General features: G+C 47.3%; 2 protein-coding genes and 1 long non-coding RNA gene across 7 annotated transcripts in view, besides 2 other annotated features; 1 reads left to right on the top strand and 2 right to left on the bottom strand.

The window, feature by feature from the left end:
• Positions 1-276: 276 nt before the first annotated feature.
• On the bottom strand, positions 277-5,798 carry LOC105376825 (uncharacterized). Its single transcript, XR_947031.2, has 3 exons — positions 4,023-5,798; positions 2,456-2,559; positions 277-1,439 (listed from the first exon to the last, which is right to left on the bottom strand). It is a non-coding gene; the product is annotated as an uncharacterized LOC105376825 (long non-coding RNA).
• A 1,255-nt stretch (positions 5,799-7,053) lies between these two features.
• The window catches only part of UBXN10 (UBX domain protein 10), a 12,720-nt gene continuing 1,550 nt past the window's right edge, over positions 7,054-18,223 (bottom strand). The window contains exons 1-2 of one of the 3 annotated variants that reach the window (XM_005245742.5): positions 14,484-17,008; positions 7,054-12,557 (exon numbers count right to left, since the gene is read on the bottom strand). In XM_005245742.5, the coding sequence (XP_005245799.1) occupies positions 11,700-12,542 (843 nt within the window). In that variant the 5' untranslated portion in view covers positions 12,543-12,557; positions 14,484-17,008 and the 3' untranslated portion in view covers positions 7,054-11,699. Of the gene's footprint in view, positions 12,558-14,483; positions 17,009-18,223 lie in introns of those variants that run through there. The other 2 variants (NM_152376.5, XM_011540699.4) reach the window with 2 other exon arrangements.
• Positions 7,778-7,837: an enhancer, noted in NCBI's record as "active region_317". NCBI's record gives its function as "activates an Ori minimal core promoter by ATAC-STARR-seq in GM12878 lymphoblastoid cells {active_cell/tissue: GM12878}" and the evidence as "EXISTENCE:reporter gene assay evidence [ECO:0000049][PMID:35858748]".
• Positions 16,586-18,223, top strand: part of PLA2G2C (phospholipase A2 group IIC) — a 23,464-nt gene continuing 21,826 nt past the window's right edge. For all 3 annotated transcript variants that reach the window (NR_110078.2, NM_001316722.3, NM_001367969.2), the window contains exon 1: positions 16,586-16,744. The gene's annotated coding sequence lies outside the window, so the exon portion shown is untranslated. The remainder of the gene's footprint in view (positions 16,745-18,223) is intronic.
• Positions 16,719-17,918: an enhancer, noted in NCBI's record as "CDK7 strongly-dependent group 2 enhancer chr1:20511679-20512878 (GRCh37/hg19 assembly coordinates)". NCBI's record gives its function as "activates an origin of replication core promoter dependent on BRD2, BRD4, P300/CBP, MED14 and CDK7 cofactors, with strong dependence on CDK7, by STARR-seq in HCT116 cells {active_cell/tissue: HCT116}" and the evidence as "EXISTENCE:reporter gene assay evidence [ECO:0000049][PMID:35650434]".

Raw genomic sequence — 18,223 nt, 5'->3', positions numbered from 1 at the left:
TGGGTAGGTGGGAGACCTGGAATTGAGCCCTGGTGATCTGGACCCGCGGAGCTTGCACTTCACCACCCATGATGCTACAGAAAGAGCTCTTTTTGCCTTTGCAACTTAAATGACTTTTTGTGGCTCAGGTTGTCCTCCAGTAGTTGAGGTAAGGTCAGCAGCACTGGCTTAGAGAAGATACATCTAGGAATCTGAAGATTCCTCTTCCTCTTAGATAATGCACCTTTAGGTTGCCATTTTCCAAAGGCCCCGAAACAATGCACAAGGGGTGTGCTCTAGAGTTCATGGGATGCTCATTTATTATTCAATATGTGCTTACCAGCCAGGCACTGGGTGCCTGGGGCACAGACAGGCAAGGCCCCTGCTTTCATGAACCTTATATTGGGATTGGGGAAACAGCTGATAAATAAAAAAGCCAACAAATAAGATAATTACAGGTAATCATAAAAAAATGAAGAAAAGCAAAGGCAGGTTAATGGGGTACAGACTGAACAGTAGTTGGAGAAGGGGAAGGAGAATGGGGAAATGACACGCTGGTACAGCAGGCAGATTGTTCTGTAGGAATTTTGAACTCAACATTCCCTAATTCTGTGATCTCCTTCAGGCAGAAAATGTCATTTGACTTGTACAGCAACCTCTACACACACCCACTTGCCCAACCACCCTATCCTGACGTAAGGTGTGTCAGTTTAGGCACAGGCTAAGCATTAAATAAGGGAAGATGTTCTCCAAATGCCAGAGCTTCTGGAGCTCAGCTAGGCTGTCAGCCTCCTTGTTCACCTGGCGCCCGGTGTAAATGCTTCAGAAACAGTCCCCTGCAGGCTGGCTACTGGCTGGGTCAGAGGGCTCGATAGCAATTGTTGAATCTCAGATCTGAGCGTTTTGCAGAAAGAAGCCTGTTTGCACTCACAACTTTGCAGTAGCACCTGCTTTTAGCAAAATCTCCAGTTACAAGCCATGAAGACCCCAACCCTAGTGGGCTGTGGAGTTATAGAACTGAGAGGGTCCTGAGAGGTCACCCAGCCTCTGTCTCCAGACAGGGAATGTATAAGCCATCCTGGGCCCAGGGCTCCATTCCTCTTCTTGGATAGACCCAAGGACAAGAGCTCATAGTCGTCTGGGCCTGGGCAGCATGCACTTCACCACCCATCGTGCTACAGGAGGAGCTCTTTTTGCCTTTGCAACTTAAATGACTTTCTGTGGCTCAGGTTGTCCTCTGGTAGTTGAGGTTAAGTCAGCAGCACTGGCTTAGAGAAGATACATCTAGGAATCTGGAGATTCCTCTTCCTCTTAGATAATGTACCTTTAGGTTGCATTCCAAGGGCCCCGAACCAATGCACGAGGGGTGTGCTCAAGGCTGGGAGCTCCTGGAGGGCAGTGGGCATCTCTTTCTTTTTGTATCCCCAGTGCTTGGCACAAAGCAAGTGCTCAGCAAGTGTCTGTGGAGCAAACAAAGAGAGAAATGACAATAGAAGATGGGTAGTTGCTAAAATAAAAATGAGCGTTTGTACCTATTTTTACAGGTGTCAAAGCGTTCTCCATGCACATTATTTCGAAATTTATTCCCAAAATAAATATTTCCCGAAATGTATTCACCCAATGTCCTCAGGGTTACAGCTCTGCCTTGGATCTAGACTCGGAACTCAGGCCACGGTGTTTTCCTTCAGAAGTGTGGTCCCTGAAAGGGACTCCAGCAGGGGCCATTTGAGTATTTGATTGCTTATGCAACACTGTCTCACTTGTAGGCTGGGCTTCCGTTCTTGTGAAAATGTGAACTATTTAGAAAACAGGAACCTACCTGTCTTCATGGTCTCTTGCTGCAAAGAATATATTATCTGGATTAAGGTAATGAGAAACCTGCTCTGAAATATGTGGATGAGGACCAAAGCAGATGGGCTGAATTAATCTGTGTTTGCCAGCTCTACATAGAGCGCTGCAAGGAACTTTGGAAACCATGCCAGGCTCTTTGGGGATGGCATCATTGTGAGACCCATCACTGTGAACTGGCTGAAGGGCTTGGGTGACTCAGATGACCTAAGTTAGTTTTGTGCCTATGATGCTGAATTGCTTTTTGTTTTTTAAAGCAGGATCTTTAAGTTTCATTTCTGAGAGGTTGACACCTATTAAGTACAGTGCCCACTGCTAGGCACCAAGAGGCACAACGATGAATTAGCCACAAGCTGATCTTGCAGAGCCTTAAAGCCTTGTGGAAGAGGCCAGATGTGCACTGGTTCTTTCCTACTCAGCCCTTCGACCCTCAGCTCCTATGTTACTTTCCAGAGGCCTCCCCCATCCTCAGTCTGTGATTCCATAATACCCTTGAATTGATTCATCATTCCACATTCACTGAGCAACTGCCCTGTGCCAGGCACTGTTTTAGGCACTGGGGGTGCATCAGTGAAGAAAATTGACAATTGTGCTAATCTCGTGATAGATACGATAGCTTTCTGTGTACCTCTCTGCCTCCCTGCACTGGGCTGGGAGCTCCTGGAGGGCAGTGCGCACATCTTTCTTTTTGTATCCCCAGTGCTTTGCATAAAGCAGGTGCTCAGCAAGTGTCTGTGGAGCAAATAAAGAGAGAAATGACCACAATAGAAGATGGGTAGTTGCTAAAATAAAAATGAGCATTTGTACCTATTTTTACAGGTGTCAAAGCATTCTCCATGCACGTTATTTCATCCGACTCTTCACAACAACCCCTCACGGAGCACTTGTTTCCATTTGTGGGTGGGAAGATGGAGGCTTGGAGAAACAATGACCTACCCAGACGAAGAGCATGGGACACTCGATTCCAAACCCTCTGCTCTTTCTACGCCACATCGGAGTGTTTTATAAAATGATTTGAGGGAGATAATGAGCTGGAGAAACTCAAGAGAGGGAGAGGTCTCTTCTGGCCAAGGCTTCAGGGAAATCAGGGCTGAAGCTGACACGGAAAGGTGGCCTCCTGAGAAGTGGTGCTGGGGTCGGGGAAGAGGAAGCCTGAGCAAAGATATGAGAACAGGACAGCCCTGGAGAGTCACAGACCATAGGTGTTGGAAGGGACCTTGAAATGACCTCATCCAGCCCAGAAGTTCTTAGCCCAGCTGAGCCTTAGCATTCCCTGGGGAGTTTCTAAAAGAGTAGTTCCCAGAATCCAGCTCCAGAGACATTAATTCAGTTGATCTGGGGCAGAACTTTTTTAAAAGTTCCAGAGTCTTTTGGATGTGGAGTCCCCCTTTTAAAAATCCATTATTCTATTTTTGCCCATTGGACAGTCTTAGAATTCAAAAGCCATTTGGGAGGCGTTTCTGGCTACACTGAGTGGGGGTTACCCATCCCAATCTGTAGAAAGCGTACTGTCTGGGATTTGCTGGTGACTTTCTGCATTTCCCCTAATGCTTGCAGCCTGGCCTTTGTCTGCCAGCCACACCCCCGTTTACACACTGGTCTTGCAGCTCCTTTGCCTGAATGTGAAGGGACAGCCTCTTGGGTGGACTGTGAATGTACATGTCAATTTCTCTCTTGAGCAGGTGCCTGTGACTCACACCTTGGACTTCTTGGAGGATGGGACTGAGGACTCTAGACAGGTTGATGCCAGATGCCTTGGCTGGCAGGCCTGGTGGGGAATGATATGAGCAGGGTAGTGTAGCCTGAACAGGCAAGACCAAGTGCAAGAGCATTTTCAGTAAGACCCACGAATGTCTCCTCAATGGCAGTGGGGACAAACGCTCTCTGCAGAGTGAACTGATTTCCTGTGCTCCCAGGCTGGCCTTTGCCTCAACCTGCCTCTCACACCTCCTCCACACTCTTTTTTTTTTTTTAAAGTCCAAATTAAAAGGCATTAGAAAACAATGGCTTGGTAGCCCTGGTCCTCAGACTGAATGCTAACGGCTCTGACCAGGCTGCTGCGAAGTCAAGCAATCAGACATCCTTCCAGAGACTGTTTATTGTAGATAAAAAGGACTATCTCCTGCCACTGTTGTGCTAGTCAATATCTCACTTGACTATGGACAAGTGAGATAAAAGGCTAGTATTGTTCTTACCATATATGCCCGTTTGAAATTCACATGGCTCTTCCCACTAGATTGGAAGTTCCTCGAGAGCAGAGACCAGTCTGGTTCACGGTCATGGTCATGTCCCATGTCTGTTGCATGTACATATTCTGTTTGTTGGCTCAACGAAAAGATACGTATTTAAATAAGATTTGATTCATTAAAATCTTGCATGCGTTTTCAAGACCATGTTCAAGACCATACATATTTTGAGAGGTGTAATGCTTCATGTAAATATGAATAGTAAGAACAAAGACATTTCTCTCTCAGCCCCCAGCAGTCCTACTTTCCTTGGCTTTAATTGGAATAGAGTGTCTGGATTATGACAACAATGTAACTGTGCCTTCATGTTTTCATTTTAGTATTAAAAGTGTGTTGGGAGGCATGGGAAATGTTAATACTTAACAGTAATCAGCAGCATGGAAAGTTTTTGAAGTTTAGTTTCCATTTTCAATCAACAAAATTAGGGAAAATTTTAAAAAGCAGTAACCACAAAACTGAAGATGCTACAATGAAGTTGTTACGTGCTTTGCTATATAATGCATTGAAAAGTAAAAGCAAAATCCATAAAAATTTTCATGTAATTTGACCTACCAATCCTATTCCTGGACATTTGTCCTAAAGAAGTAATTCAAAAGATGCAAAAGCTACCTAAATGAAGATTTCAGCATAGACTTCTATAGCAAAAAAAAAAAAGAAAAATTGGAAACACATAGATTTTCCTTCCATAAAGGGAAAGTAGTTTAATAAATTATGGTACATCAACATGTTGAAGTATTACTCAGTCTTAAAATAATTATGAAGGCTGTAGATATTTGGAGAAAGAATATTTAACTGTGTTTGCTAAGATTACAAATGTTAAAAATATGCATGTGTGCCTACTGGCAAGAAAGTAATGTGCAACATAAATTTAGTCATTAAGAATGAAAAAAAATATATGCAAAATATTAACAACAGTTATCTCTGACCAAAAGGATTATGGATGATTTTTATTTTCCTCTTTAATCTTCTCTATATTTCCCAAGTTTTCCATTTTTCAAAAAAAGCATGTGCTTTTGTTTTTGGGGAAGAATATAATGACTTCTATAAGAATGAGCCTTTTGTGCCTGGAAAAATAATGTATAATGATGATGTACATTATGGGTTAGCATTTACTTCAATGCTACTTTTACAATAAAATTATCACTTTTTAAAAAAATAAATAGGTTCTATACCCAGAAGCTGTCCACTTCTCATGACACCTGTGGGGACCACTCTGGTCATCATCTGTCACTTAGATTATGCTAATAGCTTCTACTTGGTCTTCTGTCTTCTGCCTTTGCCTAATCTCAACTCGGCAGCCAAGAGCGGATTTGAAGACATCCATCGGGCACCACTCCTCTGCTCAGCTGCCTGCAGTGGCTCTGCATCTGACCCAGAGTGACACTGTGTGTCTCCTGCCCCCATCTCTGACTGCCCCACCCACCTGGCTCCAGCCACACCCATTGCTGGTCCTTCCCCTAACAGGCTGGAAGTGCTCTCTTCTGAGGACCTTTGCACCCCCTCTTCCAGGAGCCCTCTTCCCCCACCTATCTACAGACTGACAACCTTGTTTGCTTCTGATTCTTCACTTGGGTGTTCCTTGACCATCCGTGTCAGACCTCATCCTCTGCCAATTCCCTGCCCCGCCCATGCTCTCCAGATCCCCACAGCCTGCTCTTCTTTCTTTCTTTCTTTCCTTTCTTTCCTTCCTTCCTTCCCGTTTTTTTTTTTTTTTTTTTTTTTTTTTTTTTTGAGACGGAGTCTCGGTCTGTTGCCCAGGCTGGAGTGCAGTGGCGCGATCTCGGCTCAATGCAACCTCCACCTCCCAGGTTCAAGCGATTCTCCTGCCTCAGCCTCCTGAGTAGCTGAGATTACAGGCACATGCCACCACGCCCGGCTAATTTTTGTATTTTTAGTTGAGATGGGGTTTCACCATGTTGGTCGGGCTGGTCTCGTGTACCTCCCTCCTTGGACTCCCAAAGTGCTGGGATTACAGGCCTGAGCCACCGCGCCCGGCCTCTACTTTCTCTTTTCCATGGCATGTATCCTCTTCTACCATTCTACATTAATTATGTATATTCACTTTCTGTCTCCTCCCGTTAGTATGTGGGAGGAGGGAGTTTTGGCCTGTTCACTGATGAGCCTGATATGTGCCTGCCATCTAGGTGCTTAATATATATTTGTTGGATAAATTTGTTACAGATGATTTGAATCAGGTGACAGCCTGCTGGGAACTCCATTAAGAAGAAAAAGAGCACTGGGCGCAATGGCTCGAGCCTGTAATCCTAGCACTTTGGGAGGCTGAGGTGGGCTGACTGCCTGAGCTCAGGAGTTTGAGACCACCCTGAACAACATGGTGAGACCCCATCTCTACTAAAATACAAAAAATTAACTGTGCATGGTGGTGCGCAGCTGTAGTCCCAGCTACTCGGGAGGCTGAGATGGGAGAATCACTTGCACCCGGGATGCTGAGGTTGCAGTGAGCCGAGATTGCGCCACTGCACTCCAGCCTGGGTGACAGAGTGAGACTCCATCTAAAAAAAAAAAAAAGAAGAAGAAGAAGGAAAAGAACGAGCTGAGGCCCAGGCCTCAGCTGGGGAAATCCTCTACAGAGTGGCCAAGAGTCCAGATCCAGAGTCTTCAGGACCTGGTATGCTTATGTCTGGTCTGGGCTGATGCAGGATCAGCCAGGGTTGTATGCAGGTGGTGGGGTGGGGGCAGCAAGTTTCCAGAGAATATGTCCCAGCTGGCAGGGTGGGCACCCCCGCCATTCTCCCAGGGTTTGTGTGCAGGTGGCTGGCCATTCTTGTTAACAGTGGCTAGAGCTAGAGCAGACCCAGGCTGTCTGCTGGAGGTGCTCACCAGCCAGAGTGGACCCATGACATCTACATCTCCTATCAAAGAGAACAAATGTCAGAGAGACGCAGCTCTTAGCCAGTCACAAAAGGGACCAAGGCCCCACTGCACAGATCCCCTCATATAAACACGAGGTGAGCATGAAAACTATGAAACTAGGAGCTTTATTAATTAAGCCCCAGAATGATGGCTTTGTTTGCCTTCCCAAGAAGAAATGCATCCCCAGTCAGCTGCTGGACTGGAATAAATGGAGGGAAGGGTGGCAAGAAAGGGAGGGATGAAGGACAGGAGATAGAGATAAACAGTGTATTTAACTAGAACAAGGATTTCTTATTAAGTAACCTTGGTCAGCAGTCATATCATACCCCTAGAGGTAGATGATACTTTTAACTTATATCTCAACATTAAGTGAAACAGTGACCTTAGTTTTATCTCTTAATTAAAACAATGAATAGCTTTGATTTTCTCTGTACACTTTGTCCAAAAACACTCGTGCATTTCCTTGATGGGAATGTTCCTGCTGGTCAGTGTCTTTCCCCTGCCTGCCATGTGCTTTGCTGCCGTGGTGGTTGTTTGCTTGTTTGTTTTTGCAGAAACAATCCACGTTGGCGATATTGGTCAAGCTAAGTCCACCTGGGTGAATCCCAACTTGTCAAACTATCCTTTTTTTTCTCCTTAAGAAAATGGATTATATGTCCAGAATCTGGCCACCTCTCATGACATCTCTGGCTACCACCCTGGCCCGAACCACCATCACCTCTCTCTGGTCACCTTCATACCTCCAGCACTCAAGTCTTCCATCTTCCACCCCAGCCCCTCAACACGGCAGCCAGAGGGCGCCTCTGAGCAGGACAGTCTGAATGAGGCTTGCTCAGTTTTACCCGTGGGCATTTGTCACCACAGTCGTTCAGTCTCTTGGGATAGGATTTAAGTGTGTCCAAAAATACCTCCAGAGATTTGTGCTTCCGCGTCGACTGTTAGGAGGGCTGCTGCTTCCTAAACTGTTTGAACATAAAGGCACACAGATGAACGTCAGAAAGGGCTGGGAGAAGCTTCCCTAATCAGGAAAGGAAAGTGGCACGCCACCCGTGTAGACAAAAAATAAAACACCTAATTTTAGTTTTATGAGTGTTGTGTGTTGGTAACTGAGTCACCAAAAGTCTGTTCTCCTTTGATTGCTAACTCCTCCGAAGCGACCTCAGGCCTTCCCTGTTATATGGTGGGGTTTGGTTGGTTCTGGTTTCTGGATGAGAGTCAATAGGCTCGTGAACTTTTAACTTTACTGTGGGGTGTTGCCTTAATGGACTGAGAAAACAGATGTTCCTGCTTAATTCTTGGAATGACTTCTAAACTAATGCTAAAGCAAAATAATATAGCTGTCTTCTTTATTCCGTTTAAAAGGTAGAAAAGTAGATCCTCTTACCATGTAAAAGTCTCTTTTATCCGAACTTATTATGAGGATTTTATTTTTAAAACTAAGTAAAGAGAAACATCTTTGTCCCAAGAGGCAGGGTGGCTTTATTTGACATTAGAAACCCATTTAAAACGGCAGGTAAGAGCATGAACAAAAGCAAAGTTTAGTTCCTCGAATGCCTGCTTTTGTAATGCAGGTGGATCTGGCTCTAGTCTTTAAGGTTATTAATTGGAATGAATGCCCCAAGGCTGCTCTTAGTTTCTCTGTGAAGCATTTTATATGGGAGCTCTGGGGTGACTCTGGGTCCACAGTCATGTTCACAAGCCATCTCTTCCGCAGGAGTGCCCTGCCTTGAAGGCTGTTGGCTGGGTCCCCAGATATTCTCAGGGCAAGATCTGTTGTGTTATAACCACCTGCCATCTGTTGGTGCAAATTTTCTGGATTCTAGATGATGAATCACTTACTTCTCCTGCTGTTCCTTCTGCTGCCAAGACTAATTTACCTATTGGACTTTATGAGGGAATATACTAGAGTAACCTATCATGAAGGTTTGTCCTATGCAAAGTTCCTACTCCATCACTAGAAAAGGTGGGCAAGAGCTTCCTTAGCATCTCCAGAGGGTGGGATGAAGAGCCAGCAGTAACAATGTGGGATCCTCACTTTGGGGTCCTTTGCAGATAAAGCTATAGCCACTGACTTCAGTAAGGTTTGAGTTGAGAGTCCAATGGTGGGTTCATGTTTTCTTGCCAACACTTTCTTTTCAGGACACCCATGCTTGTCTCAAAGTGTGGCACTGGGTAAGCCCTCAATGGCCATCGGTTAAATGAATAACTGAGGTCTATGACCCCAAACTGGGCAAGGCTGACCCACCCAAAGCCACCAAGAGGAGTGTGCTAGGCCGGTTGAGCCCATTTAGGACAGGGGGCCTCAGCTGCAATGCAACATGTGGAGCCATCAGGAACTCTGAATTCTGATTTAGTTTGTTCTTGCCAATCCCCAAAATCAGAGTACTTGGAATGATGTTTAGGAAAAATTCAGGTGACTCTTATCCAGACAAGCTAAGTGCTGTGACAGAAGCTGAGAGCAGGAGCCCCGTCGCTTCTGCAGTGGGCATCAGAAGTGTCCGGGGAGGAGGACTTGGTTCTAACAGTGGAACAAGTGCTTTCCCAATGAGAAAACTGAAGATCAGGCTAACACACCCCTCTGTCCAGTCGTGTGTGGGAGCTGAAGCCTTAGGTTAAAATACGAGATGCACTTCTCCACTGACTCAGTTTCACACAAGTTGGTTTTTATCGTATCATCTTTTGTCCAAAAAAAAAATGTTTATTATGATGGTTTGAGTCTAGCTTTATTCACATATCCTAAAATATCCTAAAATATTTCTATGCTTATGCCTTCCACTTTTTCCCAACCCCAAAATTCTAAGCTCACCAGCAGCAGCAAACCCTAAGCACAGAAGATTCTAACTCCTTCAAGCTTGCTCCATTTCACTCAAGTTTTCTAAAGCTTTCCTGTCTGGAGAAATTACCAAGTCCCAGGTGGGTGGGATTTTATTCTTACCACAGAGTAGGTGTGATTTTATGGGAGGCTCTTCCCCCAGCCTCCTAGATCAGACATAGAGTTATGTGCTCAAGTCCTGGTGGGAAGTGAAATTCCTGTACTTTTAGGTGCTGGGCTCAAATTCTGTCTGCTGTGGTCATTAACGGGAAGAGGTGGCCAGTTGTGTGGGCCTGCCTGAGGCACCACTGGCCCCAGCTGACCTTTCCAATCAAAGGAATGGCTGACCAAACCAGGATGGTATTAAGAAATTCTATAAAACATTCAGAAATAACCTATTCTAGAATGATCTGGGCAGTGTGGGATGCAGTTAGGACCAGACCAGCCTTCTTCTGAGCAAATGGCAGTGGTGCCCATCTCCACTAAGCCTCAACGTGCGAGAAAAAACACTCCCAACCATGCAGCTTATCTGAGCACAGGATGCGCTTGTTGCTGGGGTAGCCACATGTATATGCTTCTGGAACTCCTGATTCCTGCCTTCTCTCTGTATACCCAGGAGGCGGGAGCACACACCAGAACTCAGGACTTTGTGATGACCATGCTTTGGGGGAACAACATGCACAGAATGTCTGAGTGTTCCCTACTCTGAAGGATGATTTGGCCATAAAAGGGATCAGATGAGTCATGGAGTCTGGCTGAACTTGCAATAGAAGAGAACATTGGCAAACTGTCCACATCAGCACTTCGAAGTTGGAAACACAAGACCCCATGGTCTTCAAAGCAGCTCAGGCTAAGACAGGCTGATGTACTTCATGCCGGTCAACCAGATGCTCGGGCACATGGTCTCTCAGCACAGGCACAGCAAAGTAACACGAGACCAAGGCACCCCCCTCCTCCTCCAGAGGTTCTAAGTCAGAACAGGCACCTCTGTCACAGCTCCAAAGGACACACCATGTTTGAAGTGGGCAACGCACTGAAACTGGGGAATAAAACAATTGCTCCACCCCCAAATAAGCCAAGGAGGTTGTCAGTACAAACCTGTTTAAACTTATAGGTTTGTACATTTTAAAAACAAAAGATTCCATTACTGACAAAAGCAAAAGAAATCAGACTGCACTGGCTTTTCTCGGTTTTGGAAGAATTCAGCCCACAGAGTAGCTCCCAGAAGTTGTAAACCTAGTCAGTCTCTATTAAAAAGTAGCTACTGGGTAATCCATGCTCATGGAAGCAACTTACTTTCAAGCTTTAGGACTATTTTAGAAATGCTGATGTTTTGGGGAAGAAAACCCATTCTTCCCTTAGATGCCACCTCACACAAATAGTAAATCCCTAAGAAACTGACCATGCATGGTAAAGGGCTACTTCCAAAGATGGGGTCAACGGCCTGTTTCTTCAAAATACTCGCAAGAAACACAAATGCCAGTTAGATAGTTCCTACACTGTGGTTATTTACCAGACTAGAATCCTCTCTGGGAAGTGTTTAATCCTGCATCAAATACAGACAGGAAAGCATTGGCTTCGAGAGAATCACAGTTCACTGTAAAGGCAAGCCGGTGTTCGAAAAGGACCATTAATTCAGAAGGACCCAAAACTCTGGAAAGGAGAAGTCATGATCACTGCTGTTTCAGGAACAACCTTGGTAACTTGCCAGTTACGCTGGTGGTGGAGAGAATGGAACAGCTGGAAGGGAGACTTCTTAGCGCGCTCGGCATAGGCACAGACTTCACTGCTTCAGAGGACACGCAGTGCAGACGAGAGTCCCAAGCTTCCCAGCTGCACCAGGTCCACATGGCACTTGAAACAGGCTGCCTAAGAGGCCACAACGCCCAAGCATGCTCCTTTGCTCAGAGACCCAGGACCTCAGCTGGGTGGCTGTGGACTCAGGGCCACCCTTCCCCATCTTCCAGTGAGATGCCCAGCACAGACTTGTGGGGGATTCTGCACTCTTGCAGAGATTTGGTGAGGTCAGAAAATCGCCTCCTGGGCACCTCCATTGTTTCAATGCTGCAGTGTCGGTAGGAGGTTTTGTTTTTCTGTTCGGCCACAGCAACAATGGTTTGCAAATCATCTGTTGGCCGGAAATGGCGTACAAACCTTTGGCCTGTTGGTGATCTAACAGCAAGCAGCAACCTTGGTTCTTGGTCCGATGGTTCCTCCAGATTTCCAGCCCTGGAAGAGCCCTGTTTCTTGGTTCGGACGATGAATTTCCTCTCCACGGCACAAGCTCGAGCTCTGGAATCTTCTTCACTTGTCTTCATGGTGCCCGTCTCGTCTTGGTAAAGAGCCCGGATACTGCTCAGTTGCAGTGAGCTGGCCTTTTTGGCAACGGTTTCCACAGCCTCCTCCTCCAGGTTCTTTCTGTTGATGGAAGGAAGGACTGGATACTTATTGAGAGAAGAGGAAGCCCCAGTGGGTACTTGCTGCTGCAGCTCAGGGATCTCATCAGAAGCTCCCTGGTTTGGAGATTTGGGTGCACAGGCTCCTGGTTTTTGGCTGCTTGGCAACTCATAGGGAATGGCTGGAGGCGGAGATGGTATATGATGAGCGCACACCTCCACGCCCTGGGATTTCTGCAGACTCGGTCTTGTCCGTCCCTTGGCGGACTTGGGCCTTATCATGTGCATATTTAGTGAGTTTGGCTGCCAAATGAGGCTGTCAACTGCTGTGCTGACAACAGTGCTACACTCAGGTGGTGCTATATTCACAGGGGCTTCTGTGGCCATTGCTTCTCAAGACCCCTAAGGAAGCAGGAAAAAAACAGGAGTCCGTGGGTTAAACTTCCTGGGACTCCTAGATCCAAGCCATTCCCTCCCTGAGTGCCCAGAATAAGCACAAATTTCTGGCATCTAGTAAGGGGCACCAGCTGCAATTTATTCATTCAGGCATGCATTCATTTATTTTAGGCACTTGCGAGAGATCAGCAAACCGAAGTCCTTGCAATGTAAATTATTATAGTGAGGAAAGACAGGGGTTAAAACCCACAAGTAAATAGATATTTTCAAAGAGTAACAACCGCTATGAAGAAAATAAAAATTATTGCACCAGAGCGTGATTAAGGTGGGGGACTAATTCTTATTCTTTTAGGAGGGGGGAAGTTTCTGGTAAAAACCAGAAAACCTGCTGTGTTTCAGTAAAACTTCATTTTTGGACTCTGAAATTTGAATTTCAGATAATTTTCATGTGTCACAAAATACTCTCTTTTGATTCTTTTTCAATGATTTAAAAATGTGAAAGCTATTCTTAGTTCATGAGCCACACAAAATAGGTGACGGGCCGGATTTGGGCTGTGGGCCATCATTTGTTGGTCCCTGTCCTACAGCAACTCTGGGCGCATGCTAATTCTACAGATGTATGAGCCAGAAAGGTAGAGTGATTTCCCAATGGTCACACAGCCAGCTGGTGGCAGAGCTGGAGATAGGACCCAGGTCTTGTGACACCCGATCCTGTGTCCTCTGTACCCATACAAGCTGCTTCCTGAGCCCAGCACATCACATTCTGTATGTCTGCTAGCTGCTCACATTTCTTTTTTTCTTTTTCTTTTTTTCTTTTTCTTTTTTGAGACAGAGTCTCACTCCATCACTCAGGCTGCAATGCAGTGGCACCATCTCAGCTCATTGCAATCTCCGCCTCCCAGGTTCAAGCAATTCTTGTGCCTCAGCCTCCCGAGCTGTTCAGACTTCTGTCTTCCCAGCTACCCGATAGGCACCCTGGGGCCTCTGTATTTGGATCTCCCACCAAAAGTCTGTGTGAGTGCTGGTTAAATCCACCAGGAGCAATGAACTGAAGCATGGTGGGAGGCGTGAACATTTCTCTGTGCAGACCCGGAATTGCTAAACCATGACACCTCCTCTTTCATTGCCATCTTGGTGGCCACTTCACTAACACTACTACCAGCACCTCCTCCTCCCAATCTCCAGTTCCATCTTTCCCTAAACATTGCAGACATCTTATTGGGCTCCCTGCCTCCCTCTGAATCCTGACCACCACTGTGACTCCTGCCTTCTCTGCTTGAAAGCTGACCTGGCCTCTCCTAGCCTTCTAAAGACCTTCTGGTGACTTTCCAGTGATTCATGGTCCCCAAGAAACAGCATATTTGGGAGCAAAGGACAGAGGACCAGGTGTCACAAAGTGTGGGTTCAATTTCAGCTTCTCTGCCACTGGCTAGCTACCTGATCAAGGGGCAATCACTCTACCTTTCTGGCACAAAACTTTCCTCATCTATCAAATTAGCTAAATGATCTTAGAGGTATTACTTAAGTACCTCAGAACATCAGTCTTTTTGTCTGTAACATGAGGATAATAACATGAAATAATGTAGGTAAGGTGGGAAGCACCAGGCTTAGTGCATGGTAGAAACTTAATTAAATGTTAAGCGTTTTTTGTTGTCGTCGTTGTTTGCTTCGGGTTGTCTGTTTAGTGCTTCCTATGTGCTAAGTTCAAAAGCCTTCCTTGTTTTGCTCTAGAACTTTTCCCCGTGTGTCCTCGGTGATTCTACTCCTGGTTAACCAGCTGGGTGAGTCCTGAAACTCATGCCTGCCCTGTCCACTGCACAGAAATGCAGGGAGGTGGACTGCAATGAGCTACCACCTACGCAGTTGCCTCAAAACATGTGAAAATAAAATCCCGAGTTGATCACTTCTCTTCTAATTCCACATTTTACTTACCTCAGATTCACTTCCTGCAGAATGATTTGCACTTCCTGCAAATTCACTCCTTTCATCACAAAATCTTGAACAATGTAATCTGAGCCTCTCAGGGTTTGTATTCTAACCTCACCATTCTGCACATGTAACCACTGCTGCCTAATTTTAAGGAGTATCTGCTTCCTCTCCACTCAGACCAGGACCAAACGCAACACATTATCCCTATATCTTCCTGATGTCCTGCTCAATTCAAAATCTTGGACAAAGCTACCCTCTTTTAAAGGCCTCTATGTCTGCTGCATTCCACTCACAGCCTGAGTCTCTCTCCACTCCCATTTTCCACTTCTCCCTCGTCTTTCACACCCAGTCTGGCTGCTAGTAGCTCAGGAGCCTTCTCCTTAGCAAACTTTTGGCATCAAAAAAGACTGCCCATCTCCTTGTTAATTTCATCTATTTTCTGATCAACTGTGAAGAATGTGTTTTTCCCCCTTTAGTCTCCTTCTCAAGTCTTTCTCTGGCAATTAGCAGCTCTGCACTTTCACTCAGGATGGCAGGAGAAGGTCATAACTGTCCAACTGTTCTGCCAAAGATAAGCTCCACAGGCAAACCCACGCCCCTCTCGGCCCACCCTCCCCACTTGTGGAATGGCTATTAATTTGCCACAGCTTCTACAGAATTATCACAGGCTTGGCTTCCAACACCCACACATGCCTCAGGAAGGTTTAACTGTCAGTGAGTTTGGTAACTTAGAAACCTCTTCCTTAACAACTTTGATGAGGAGAGTCATGTGTTCTCACAGGCTCTCTGTGGGATTATTTTTAACAGTAAAACTTGAGTATGTGCATGCACTTTCTATACCTTTTGGTTCCATATAATTATCCATGTTCAGGGGGTGTCATATTCAAGACACCCTGGTCATAAGATAACATGACTGTGAGCTATCTCAGAGAAAAACCTCAATTATGACTAATTCCTAGGAGCCCACTCATGGTTATTTAGAGACTAACACCTCCTTCAGGTAAAACCATTATATCCAACCTGCTTTCATAACCCACTGCCTCCTCCCGAGCACAGGGACCATCTGTTACACGGAGGGAACACCAGCTCTCCCCAGCACCCATCACACAGGGATGGGCGGTGGGGGAAACAGGTGTTTGGGGATCTGGGCCAACTGTGCCTTTATATTCACACCTCAGGTCCTGAACTCTGCCCACCACCCTCAGTCCAGGATTGAGGCAGCAGCCATGATTCTCCCTGCTCAGTTCACTTCACCACCTCTAGGCCTGGCAGCCACTCAACCACAAACCGATTTGACAAGATCTAGGCGTAGGCATCTATCAAGCTGCCAAGCTGAATAGGCGAGTGGCCTGTTTACTTAAACACAATAGCTGCACCCCAGCGGCCTGCTAGGAGTCAGGAAGCAAACACTGCCAACTGTTTCCAAGAAGTTGCCAGAAGGGCAGGTGCCCATTCCTTAAGATTCACCACCAAATCAACTGGAAAGAAGGAAATGTGGATAGGAGAAGCTAAAGCAGGGCTCCTGCTTTCTAAGGGTGCCCACCACCCACCACAGGGTCAGACCACCCTATTTCACTCACAACCCAAATCTAAGCCTACAGTATATGCAGTAAAATATAACCACCTACATACCATCTGCTGGTATATACCAAGATACATACATTTGAATTGGTCTTTTAAAACTGTATCAGTTAATCCTATCCGTTGCCATCCCGCCCCCCCCAACCCACACCCCCACCAGGCTTTCAGGATAAAAATGCTCTGAAGAACCAACAGGAGATGGTGGTTGGCCTGAGAATGAAAAAACTCTGGTACCATTCCCAGTTCTACCCCAAACTAGGGATTAGAATACACTGTCCTATGCAGAGTGCCACACTGAACCACAAGCCACCAAGTGATCAAATGTTTGGATAGAGAACTGGGGATGATTCCAGCGTCAGAAGGGCAGGGAGGTGGTGGGGATAACTCAATTAAGTCCAAGTTCCAGCGCCCTAGAAGGCAACAGGCTTAAGAGGCAGAGGAGGGATCTGGGGGAGGGGCGAGAAAGAGCGTTTAGAAAGCGAGAATTGACTTCAGAGAAAGAGCACAGGACTGGGGGAGGGGCCCTCTGGTTCTCGTCTCTGCCCTGCCGGAGACTGGGACATCCTTTTCTCTCCCTGGGTCTGTGTCCCCGTCGCTACATCCCAGCCTGGAGGGCATGGCCCAGCGGTTGCATAGGTCCCTCGGTTTCTGCAGAGCCCGGGAGTCACCCTATTTTGGTAAAGGTGAGCTCTGGCCAGGCTTGCTTTGCCTCGGGAGCAGACTTTTCTCCAGGCTCCTCGCCTGTCTCCCGGGGTTTGCGTCCCCCGGGCTGGGTCTGGGGAGGCCCTCCCGGGTGATGTGCTGGGGTCTCGGGGACTGGCCTCCCCCGGCCCCTTCCAGGCCTGGCGGAGGCCAAGGGCAGGCCGCGGGATCGGGCAGCCGCTCTCACCTAGCCGTTCCGCTCCATCCGCCGCCTGCGCCCGGGCTCTGTCCTGCTGGTAAACAACCCTGGTCTCCCGGGCAACGCCGCAGGGTGGGGGGCCACGTGCTTCCGGCGTGACCGGAACCGGCCTGGGTCGGGTGGGGTCGGGTGGGGTCGGGTGGGGGCCGCTGGGCCAGGAGGGCGGAGGCCGTGAACTCCAGGTCGGTGGATTGCGAGCCTGGAGTGGATTGCCTGGCCTGGAGGCGACAGGGACCCGCGGCCTCCTTCTCTCCTCCTCTTCCTAGCGTCACCGCCTCTGTTTCTCTCTGGGGGAGAGTGTCTGGGAGAGGGAGAGCCCTGGCCGGGGCATGGAGGAGCGGGGAGCAGCACCACTAGTCTCAAAATCCGTTTCTCACCTTGGGTCAGGCCCTGACCCTCTCAGTGTCCCTGGTTTTAAAATGAGGCTGTGGGACTGATGGATTCTCGGAACCCTAAACTCTGAGTGGATGCTTCTAGGGTATCTGAGTTGCGGGGAGCAGGGCCCCCATCCTCAGTACAGCCCTTTCAGCGCCAGTTCCCTGACCTCTTTTCACATCAGCCTCCCACTCCGGGGCCACACTGGGAACCTTATCAACAGCATCTGCACCTCCTTTGATGTCCCCAGCCACAATCTCTTCCACTTCCAGCCACTTGAGTCACTTCCGCTGTATCTGTTTTTCACCATCTTTGGGTTTCCTGTCCATTGCTGTCTCCGCTTTCCCCCTCGATATCAATCTGCTTCTTCCCTATCCTGGCCCATTACCTCGGCATTCTCAAAAGGATCCTCCCTGCCCGAGTCCTACTCTCCTTCCATCTGATGAAACCTGAAGCCAAACCAGTCCACCTACACACGGGTATTGAAGAAGTCTTGGCCAGCCACACACCTTGGTGTAACAGAAACACGAGGTCTCTAACCTCAGTTAGACTCTCAGCCCTGCACTTCCATCCCCAACCGACCACTGGGTTCTCTCTCCCTCCTTTCTTCTTTTTCTTCCTTTTTTAAGGGGAGACAGGGTCTCGCCCCTTCACCCAGGCTGGAGTGCAGTGGTGCAATCACAGCTCACTGCAGCCTGGACCTCCCCAGCTCAGCCTCCCTTGTAGCTGGGACTACAGGCGTGCACCACCATGCTTGGCTAATTTTTATTATTTTTTGTAGAATGGGGTTCTGCCATGTTGCTGAGGGTGGTCTTGAAGTCTTGGGCTCAAGTGATCCTCCCGCCTCAGCCTCCCAAAGTGCTGAGATTACAGACATGAGCCACCT

The sequence above is a fragment of the Homo sapiens genome, chromosome 1, assembly GCF_000001405.40.
Source record: "Homo sapiens chromosome 1, GRCh38.p14 Primary Assembly".
NCBI classification, from domain to species: Eukaryota; Metazoa; Chordata; class Mammalia; order Primates; family Hominidae; genus Homo; species Homo sapiens.
The sequence above is the reverse complement of the archived record's forward strand: the minus strand, read 5'-3'. Positions and strand labels throughout refer to the sequence as shown.